Raw genomic sequence first — 10,763 nt, 5'->3', positions numbered from 1 at the left:
AGAACAGAGCCCTCAGAAATAATGCTGCTTATCTACAACGATCTGATCTTTGACAAACCTGACAAAAACAAGAAATGGAGAAAGGATTCCCTGTTTAATAAATGGTGCTGGGAAAACTGGCTAGCCATATGTAGAAAGCTGAAACTGGATCCCTTCCTTACACCTTATACAAAAATTAATTCAAGATAGATTAAAGACTTAAATGTTAGACCTAAAACCACAAAAACCCTAGAAGAAAACCTAGGCAATACCATTCAGGACATAGGCATGGGCAAGTACTTCATGACTAAAAACACCAAAAGCAATGGCAACAAAAGCCAAAATTGACAAATGAGATCTAATTAAACTAAAGAGCTTCTGCACAGCAAAAGAAACTACCATCAGGGTGAACAGGCAACCTACAGAATGGGCGAAAATTTTTGCAATCTACTCATCTGACAAAGGGCTAATATCCAGAATCTACAATGAACTCAAACAAATTTACAGGAAAAAAATAAACAACCACATCAACAAGTGGGCGAAGGATATGAACAGACACTTCTCAAAAGAAGACATTTATGCAGCCAAAAGACACATGAAAAAATGCTCATCATCACTGGCCATCAGAGAAATGCAAATCAAAACCACAATGAGATACCATCTCACACCAGTTAGAATGGCAATCATTAAAAAGTCAGGAAACAACAGGTGCTGGAGAGGATGTGGAGAAATAGGAACACTTTTACACTGTTGAGGGGACTGTAAACTAGTTCAACCCTTGTGGAAGTCAGTGTGGCGATTCCTCAGGGATCTAGAACTAGAAATACCATTTGACCCAGCCATCCCATTACTGGGTATATAACCAAAGGATTATAAAACATGCTGCTATAAAGACACATGCACACATATGTTTATAGGGGCACTATTCACAATAGCAAAGACTTGGAACCAACCCAAATGTCCAACAATGATAGACTGGATTAAGAAAATGTGGCACATATACACCATGGAATACTATGCAGCCATAAAAAATGATGAGTCCATGTCCTTTGTAGGGACATGGATGAAGCTGGAAGCCATCATTCTCAGCAAACTATCGCAAGGACAAAAAACCAAAGACCGCATGTTCTCACTTATAGGTGGGAATTGAACAATGAGAACACTTAGACACAGGAAGGGGAACATCACACACCGGGGCCTGTTATGGGGTGGGGGGAGGGGGTAGGGATAGCATTAGGAGGTATACCTAATGTTAAATGACGAGTTAATGGGTGCAGCACACCAACATGGCACATGTGTACATATGTAACAAACCTGCACGTTGTGCACATGTGCCCTAAAACTTAAAGTGTAATAAAAAAAGAAAGAAAGTGTATTAGGTTGATAGCTCCCAAGTGATACAGTTTTAATTCTTTGAAAAAAGATTAAAAAATCACAATGTACCTAATTTTGAAAGTAAAGCTAAATTATGAATGTAAAGGACTTCCCATTATGACCTTTGTCCCCAACTCATGAGTGTGTATATGTGTTTTCTTTCCTTTTTTGACATTTAAAAAATTATTTATTTTTTAGAGATGGGATCTCTCTGTTGCCCAGGCTGGAGTGTACTGGCATGATCACAACTCATTGCAATCTCCAACTCCTGGGATCAAGAGATCTTCCCGCCTTAGCCTCCCAAGTAGCTGGGACTACAGGCATGTGCCATTACACCTGGCTAATTTATTTTATTATAATTGTTACAGCCAGGCTCTCCCTATGTTGCTTAGGCTGGCCTCAAACTGCTGGTTTCGAACTCCTGGCCTGAAGTGATTCTCCTGCCTCAGCCTCTCTAATAGCTGGGATTACAGGCAAGAACCACTGCACCAGGCAACTCTTTTTCTTTTTTGTTTTTTTTTGTTTTTTGTTTTTTTGTTTTTTTGTTTTTTTGTTTTTTGAGACGGAGTCTCGCTCTGTCGCCCAGGCTGGAGTGCAGTGGCACGATCTCGGCTCACTGCAAGCTCCGCCTCCCGGGTTCACGCCATTCTCCTGCCTCAGCCTCCCGAGCAGCTGGGACTACAGGCGCCCACCACCACGCCCGGCTAATTTTTTTTGCATTTTTAGTAGAGACGGGGTTTCACCGTGTTAGCCAGGATGGTCTCGATCTCCTGACCTCGTGATCCGCCCGCCTCGGCCTCCCAAAGTGCTGGGATTACAGGCGCGAGCCACCGCGCCCGGCCTCTTTTTCTTTTTTAATGAAATAATAGAGCTAGTAGAAAATAGTTTGCTTTTTAAAGTGCTTACTTAATAAAATAAAAAGTGGGCAACTCGAAATAAAAAATCAAACAATATCTAACATGTTTAAAAGATTTTTAAAAATCAAAATATAAAATAATATCAAAATTTAAAAACTGGGATTCTGTTCCCCAAAGTTCTGTTCAAATCTGTTAGATTTATCTTCCCTTGACCCTAAGTAATATCTTGGGCAAGCCCTAGAGCTTCTTTCCTGACCCTTAGTTAATAAGATGTTATCTGGTCACATTCAGTCACAATAATAGACTCATTTTAGTAATAAACATCTTAAGACTAGTAATTAAAACTCTTTACTTCACACCAAGTTTCCTCCCCAAGCTTGGCCTGTTCCTGGCTGGCAGCCTGAAGTAGGGAAAGGAGAGATATGGTGACCTTTTCTTTGTACCTTTCTAGCTACCCTCTATACCCTGACCCTACATACATAATTGAGCTGTGGCTTCTGACTCTACTGGGTTTGGGGATGAGAGGCATTGAGAGTAAAATGAAGGAGTGGTTTTAATTAATGGCACAGCTAAAACTGGATTTTGTTCTCTCTGCACATGGCAGATGTTTAAAGCTCATTCTTTCTTTTATGCAAGTTTTTACACCATCCAGCCTCATTTGTACCTCTTGAATTTTTGCTCAGTGGCCTATCACCATTCAGGATCAAGACAAAAATCAATGAGCACTTATTGTGTGTCATGCACCCTACAAAGTGCCAGGATATTTATCCAAACTCCTGGCAATGCTAAACACAATGCAAAAAGACATATTAGAAAACGAATCTTATTAACTTTAACTTTTCAACTGTATTTCATCATAAAGTCTTACTTTACAAGATAATTGCTGTTGTGAAAAAGGGAAAGGTCATGGTCTCATTTCCCAGATGTTATTTGATATATGCTATAAATTATATTACCTCCAACATAGTCTGCACTTTGAACTTAGAAAAACAATCTTCAGACGGCATGCATTCTAATTCTTGAAATAAGTATGCCCACAAACTGTAATTTAAGACAGAATAGGTATGCTTCTCATGTTTTAATTCAGTTGAATTTCAGAAGATCTCAGGAATGTACAGAACGAGAATTAAGAATTAATTAATAAGAATTAATTAATTGCTTGACATAGTTAGGTGATTTCCTGAACTTTAAGCTTCCACATCACAGTATGAAGTTGGTTCTAAGATAAGAAATATAATAAATTCTCGCCCAAGGACAGACCTGAATCTCTAGCTGCCTAGAGGCTGACTCAACTGAAATCATGGCGTTTGACAGCACTTGGAAGGTAGACCGGAGTGAAAACTATGACAAGTTCATGGAAAAAATGGGTAAAGACTTTATTTCTTTGTGGCTCATTCTTTGCTTTCTTACAAACATTTTTCTTTCTAACTCCTAAATCTCTAGGAGATTACAGATAGCTTACAGATAGCTCCTGATGTGGTAGAGAGGATCCAGAAGATGTTCAGAGGAGGGAAACCATATTCTCCCTTCTTACATTAGGAAGAATCCACTATCTCACTAATGGAAGAAAAGATTCTTTGAGTGCTGTTCTCTGAAACACACCAAAAAGATCCAGAAATGTTTCCTTCCCTCTTTAACTGAAAAATGACTTTTTTTGTTGTTTACAGTAAGAAAATGGCAGCGTGTAATGATAACTTCCAGATCTGAAAATGTTAAATTCTAGGAGATGGAAAAACAAAGACCATATAAGAAAGTAATGGAAAAGGTTCTCTTAAAATTTATAGCGCTGAATAAGTTAGATTTAATTCTGATTTCTTCTAACTTAAAAAAGTTTTGGAATAATCTTGAGAAGCTGTGTAGTTTTCTCCAGGGCGTTTAATTTAACTGATTTATAATTTGATACCAATACTCTGGCAGCCCATATACTATACAAGATAGGCAAACAAATTTGTGTCATTCCCCTAAAAGAAAAATCTGCATCAATTATAGCTTACAGTTTAGGAACTCTAAGTTTAAATTTATAAAAGTTGTAGATTCTTATAGTGATTTTGGCTTAATATTTGCTAATTTTCTCATTTTTGTGTCAGAAAGAAATGCCACAAGAAGCAAATAGAACTATAAAGTTCAAAATGTTAAAGCCACTAAGAAAAACAAAGGGGCATTTAAGAAAAAAGAATACTGTATATGTGGAATTAAAGATGTGCTTCCTTATAAATATATGAATATACATTTTAATCCTTCATTTGATATTTCTAGAATTTGATTTACTTAACACTGAAATGAACAGTTTGTTAATCTTATTAAGGTTGCTCAGCTCTAAGATTCTATAATTCTGTACTCTACTTAATTTTTCTCAAGTTATGGAAAAACAACTTTAATCAGTTCTCTTGATCTGATTGAACCTGAACTTCTGTAGAAGCAATCTGAATGTTCTTGTGCAAAGGCAATGCTACCGAGTTTTCTTCCCACCCTCAAAATAAACAAACAAAACATAACTTGGAAAAATAAACACTTCCTATGGGATTTGACTTTATTTTCTCCATTGTCTTACCTTTTACAGGTGTTAATATAGTGAAAAGGAAGCTTGCAGCTCATGACAATTTGAAGCTGACAATTACACAAGAAGGAAATAAATTCACAGTCAAAGAATCAAGCACTTTTCGAAACATTGAAGTTGTTTTTGAACTTGGTGTCACCTTTAATTACAATCTAGCAGACGGAACTGAACTCAGGGTAAGAATTTTTTTTTTTATGAGCAATGCATTCTTGATTTTTCTACCCAATATTAAAATGATTTCTGCTCTATTTCATTGGATGGTTTAATTAATGCAGGTCTCCTTCACTAACTGAAGAAGCCAATGAAGTTTGTCTACATTATATATTGCACAAATTGGCAGGATATTTAAATATGTTTTTATTTTTATACGCATCTGTGAAGAATCTGAATTGAACAGTAAGAATTAGAAAACTATCTTTTGAATGACTGAATATAGACCTATTCATAAAGAAATTTAAAACTGTGTTTTTAAACAGTACAGCAAAAGAAGCCTTTAGAGTTAATATGTAACTTAACTGTAATAGCAATTTAACATGTTGAAATAATAAAAGAAATGAATAGATGAACAAATGAGTGAGTTACCAAATGGAAAGATTTGATGTATTGTAGGTCATTGGGAGTGTACCTTTTCATGTTTAAGATAACACATTTTAGGAAGTCATCATTTTCAACAAATTTTTTAAAAACTTTTTTTAGCCTCAACATTTTTCTATTTAAATTACATGTTTGTAATGACAATTTAACTACTGAATGTTTTATCATAAGTTATGTCTTTCTTTAATTAGTACCACAATCACACAAATTAAAACAAGCACAGAGTTGTTAACATCTCCATGAAACTAATTTTAACCATGACTATATTTCTGGACACGTAACATGAAAGATTCAGAAAGAAGTGCTGCTCATCTGCCTTAAAATTCAGCGTATGGAAATTATTGAAGAGAACAAGCATAATGGTTATCAACACATACTCTGTAGCCCAATGGCCTAGGTTCAATCCTCACTCTGTGACTTTAGGTGAATCACTGTGCCATTTTACAGTCTCCTCTTCTGCAAAGTAGAGATAATAGTATCAGTTTCATAGGGTCACCATGAAGATTAAATGAAAAAGTGTGTCTACAGAACTCAGAACAGTGCCTGACATGTGTAAGACCCTAATAAATGCCATTATTATTATTATTATTATTATTATTATTATGTAGGGGACCTGGAGCCTTGAGGGAAATAAACTTATTGGAAAATTCAAACGGACAGACAATGGAAACGAACTGAATACTGTCCGAGAAATTATAGGTGATGAACTAGTCCAGGTGAGTTGTCAAATTTATAGCTATTTTCAAAAGGCAAAAATTACTACAAAACAATAATTTTTGTCACTGCTGAGCCAGATCTTCAGTAAACTGACTACTTCTTTTCTCATAAATCTTACTGATTTTAAAAATATTGTATAGCTATTTTCTGATGCCTATTTACTAAAGACAACTTATATATGTCAAATAATCAATGCCTATTTTAACTGAAAATATAAATGACTACAAACCAACATGTGTTTTAAAATGGCTGTATCCCATATCTGTATAAATCTTGCTATCAAGTACAAGAAAAAATTGTATAAACTCATACTCATATAATATATATGAATATATAATATAAAAATAGTATAAACTCATATAGTATAAAACTATAATACTACTTTTTCTTAACTTAGATGTAAACCTTAAAGATAAATTCTTCTGTTTGTTAACACCTTTCAGACTTATGTATATGAAGGAGTAGAAGCCAAAAGGATCTTTAAAAAGGATTGAGCATTATTCTTGGCGCACAGTCCAAAATACAAATTGGACAGAAGATCTATATTGTACCAGAACTATTTATTTCACCCCATCAAGTATAAGGTTACTGATTGATTGGTCCTTTTATAAACATTGGTATATTTCCATTCATGCCAAAGCAAAAGAAGTAAAAGCTAATTAGGATTTAATTTGTTTTATATTCTCTAAGATATATATTTACTAAAAGAATTTGTGACATTTTAAAAAACAAAAATAAATATTGCGTCCATGTTGCTTTATATGTAGCCTTGCCTTTTAAAAGAAAAAGTATGTGAATATGAATTGACAGACTGTTTTCGTAGAGAGAGGGTCTTACTCTTTCACTCAGGCTGGAATGTAGTGGAGAGATCATAGCTCACTGTAACCTCAAACTCCTGGACTCATGCAATCTTCCTGCCTCAGGCTTCTGAGTAGCTAGGACTATGGGTACATTCCACAGTGCCCAGCTAATTTTTGTTTTGTTTTCTTTTTATTTTTTTTAGAGATGGGGTCTTGCTATATTGCCCAGGCTGGTCTTGAACCCCTGGCCTCAAGCAATCCTCCTGCCTCAGCCTCTCAAGTTGTTTTTTTTCTTTACATTTGATAAACTAAAAGCATAGGCTGCATATGAGTCTTTAACATCTTGAACTGGTTGTGAATAATTTTCTGGCACTGGTTGTAAGTAATATCTATTATTATAAAAATAATATATGCTCAACCAGAAAACTTAGAAATAAGAAACACAAATGTAAAATAAGTATTTCCATAACTCATAATCCAGAGATAATTGCCATTCTGATTTTGATAGATATCCTCTCAGCTCTCTTCCCTGGGGGCAGATATTTCCCAATACATACCACTTTGAATAGGATGATAGGAAATAAATGATGTACTACATTAAATTAAATTATTGTATTACATTTTTGTACACATCAGTCATTCCCACGCTTGGCTGAAAATCAGGATCATCTGAGAAACTTAAACAATTTCTGCATTCTTAATCTCCACTGTTATTCTATTATATCAGAATCGCTAATAGAACCAAGAATTCTAGAAAATTTCCTGGTGATTCTGATGCAGCCTGTCCACTAACTTGTCTTTGAGAACAATGGAGATATCAGTTATCAATGTTATTTTTAACCACCCCCTTCTTTTTTGTTGTTGTGGGTTTTTTCACATAAACACATACATTGCCAATTTTCCAGGGCTCAAAAAGTTTCCTTTTATTCATATTTTCACATGACGTAAAATTTTATGTGCTTCACATAATTGTATTTTAGCAGGGTACATATTAGGGGATGGAGAGGGGGTACAATTTTTAAGCATTTGCAGCTGCAACTCTATAGACTTTTGACAAATTCTTTTTCACACTGATGTAGATAACAGCTTAACATTTACATAGTTCTTACTACTTGCCACACACTGTTCTAAGTGGTATATACATATGACATATATATTAAAATGTAGGAAGAAAAATGTTTGAGTACCTGATGAAAATGAATAGAGAGTATGTAATCTTTGAAAGCTGAATACTGCGTGTTCTCACTTATAAGTGGGAGCTAAATAATGTATACACATGGACACACCAGAGTGTAGAATAATAGACACTGGAGACTTGGAAGAGTTGGAGGGTTGGCAGGGGGCGATGATAATTTACTTAATGGGTACAATGTACATTATTCAGGGGGTGATGGTTACAGCCCAGACTTTACCACTATGCAATATATCAATGTAACAAAACTATACTTGTACTCCTTAAATTTATATAAAAATACCTTAAATCTATGTTCATTTTATAATTTCATAAAAATCTTCACATAGGAAATAGTAATTATTTAGATTTTCACATGCTTCTCTTCATAAAAGCTCAATGTATTTTTATCCCTCTAATCTTATGTGTCTACCATATATGAATCAGGAAAAGGCAGGTATTAATCTCAATACAAAAACTGAGAGAGACAAAGGCACAAAGAAGTTTATTAGCTTGTCTAATATTGTACAAAGTCCATGATGAACAGAAGAATTAAATGTAGGTCTTGACTTTCAGCCTAGATCATTATGATCTATGCTATTACTCAGCCTGTTATAAACAAAAATATATTAAGAAAAAAAATGTCCTTAATTCCTCAGTGGCACCCAAGAATAGCACTCTAAATGAGTCAGGTCAGACTGTAAAATAATGGTGTTGAGTGATTAGACACTTATCTATTTCTAGTCTCATTGCAGGCTGACTTTTTTCACCATTTATATCCTTTCTAGAATTAAATTTCCACTATTTATTAGTATTGGAGAACAGCCTATTATTTGTTAAGTGACTTCCATTTCAACAACCGTTTTTCGGGAAAACCAACCTTGTCATTACACCACCCTGCTTGGCCAAAAGAGGGTCCCTGACCCAAGAGCAGCCAATCTACCACAATTTGGCCAGATCATGAGCTCTGTGTAGAAGGAAAAATGACAACTAACTGAACCTGCAAGAACCTCTTTCTAGGGAGTTTGAATTTGAGAAGTACACAGTTAGTAGTTGATAGCAAGGAAAAAGGCTTAAAGAGGACAAATAGAGCAGACAATAAGTAGAAGTCATGAGTACCTGAAACTATGAACAAGCAGTAACCATAGGGTAGATAGCAGAATGTCGGGGCAGTCAGAAGCAGTTGGAGTAGTAGAAGCTGAAATATTTACACATGCAATATGGTATCTGGGATTTGCTTCAAATTGCTTTCTCCCCAATCTAGGGTTGGGGAGGAAGATTGATACAAGTTGGCAATTCTTGCAGCTGTTGCAAAGTGCCTGACACATAATAACATATGATAGGTTCACTGAATAGGAACACAGGAATTCATTATATTCATCTCTGTACTTCTGTATGTATTTGAGATTTTCCATAACAAGAAGTTAAAAATATAGTACTTACATACACATATAACTCCAGAATCCAACCACTTCCCATCACTTCCACTGCTATCACCTTAGTATGAGCCACCATTATCTTTTTCCTGGATTACTGTTACAACTCTCTAAAAAGCCCAAGAACTTCTACCTTCCCTACTCCACCCCTTTAGTCTCTTTTTCTACACAGCAGCCAGAAGGATCCTTTAAAAATCTAAATCTGATCACATCGCTTATCTGCTCAAACTGCTGCAATGGCTTCCATTTTCACTCAGAGGAAAAAGCCAATGTTCTTACAATGACCTGTAAGACCCTATATGATCAGATGCCCTGTTACCTCTCCAACACGTGGTCCTGTTTTTCATGAAATATCTGGGGGAAGAGTGTTTCAAGCAGAGGAAACACCCTGGAGCAAAGACACCAAGGCAGTAGCAAACCTGGTAAATTTGAAGAACATAGCCTGGAAAGAGTCCCCAAATCACCCAGAGCTGACCAAAAACAAGACCAATGTTCAGGAAACACAGGCTGACTCAGCTTTCCTAAAATTTAGGAATGATGTGGTGAAAAAGAATGGGTTTTAGAATCACAGACTTGCCCAAATTCTTGTCTGCCCATTTACTGACTAAAATTCAAGTTCTGATTCTCTATTTTTCTCATTTGAAAAATGGGGAAAATGTAATGATTTTCTGAGCTTGTTGCAATTGAGGTATTATGTATAAAACATCGAGTGTAATGCCTGGCATATACCTGGTACTCAAATGTAACATAAACATGTACCCTTCTCCTCTAGAGAAAATGGGGCAAAGTATATCCTGAGTAGATGGGAAAACTCTTTTCTTAAAATACCTCTCATGGAGTCTGCGTGAGAGAGTGAGCCTTGGCCTGGTAGATGAGAATACTTAGTTCCAGTCCAGTCTGTGACATAACTAGCTGGGGACTTTGGGAGAGTCTCTTCATCTCTTTGGAATGTAGTTTAATCATCTTTAAAATGAGAGGATTGAACTAGATCTCCAAATTTTCTTTCAGTGCTAAGATTCTATGATGTCTGAATGACATTTAGTGATTCCTTCCTTTCTTAAGCAGCCTTTTTGGTGTGGGTCACAGGGGACAGGACATTAGAACAATGGAAGGTAGGATGGGAAGAGGGAAATATTTACATTATAAAGTATGGCTGGTTTCATGGGTGTATGGCTTGTGTGGGCTCAGAGGGCCCTGTGCTTGGTTTAATGCTCTTTTCTTACTGTCCTAAAATTCTCAATACTTTTTGAACAACTTCTGCATTTTCATTTTACACAG

The 10,763-nt window shown here is 35.7% G+C and overlaps 1 protein-coding gene across 1 annotated transcript; it reads left to right on the top strand.

Annotated features, from left to right (window-relative positions):
* FABP2 (fatty acid binding protein 2) lies at positions 3,475-8,363 on the top strand. Its single transcript, NM_000134.4, has 4 exons — positions 3,475-3,577; positions 4,771-4,943; positions 5,970-6,077; positions 6,522-8,363. Exons 1-4 carry the CDS (start codon positions 3,511-3,513, stop codon positions 6,570-6,572), a joined length of 399 nt encoding a protein of 132 aa, NP_000125.2. The 5' UTR covers positions 3,475-3,510; the 3' UTR covers positions 6,573-8,363.

The sequence above is a fragment of the Homo sapiens genome, chromosome 4 (genome assembly GCF_000001405.40).
Source record: "Homo sapiens chromosome 4, GRCh38.p14 Primary Assembly".
NCBI lineage: Eukaryota > Metazoa > Chordata > Mammalia > Primates > Hominidae > Homo > Homo sapiens.
The sequence above is the reverse complement of the archived record's forward strand: the minus strand, read 5'-3'. Positions and strand labels throughout refer to the sequence as shown.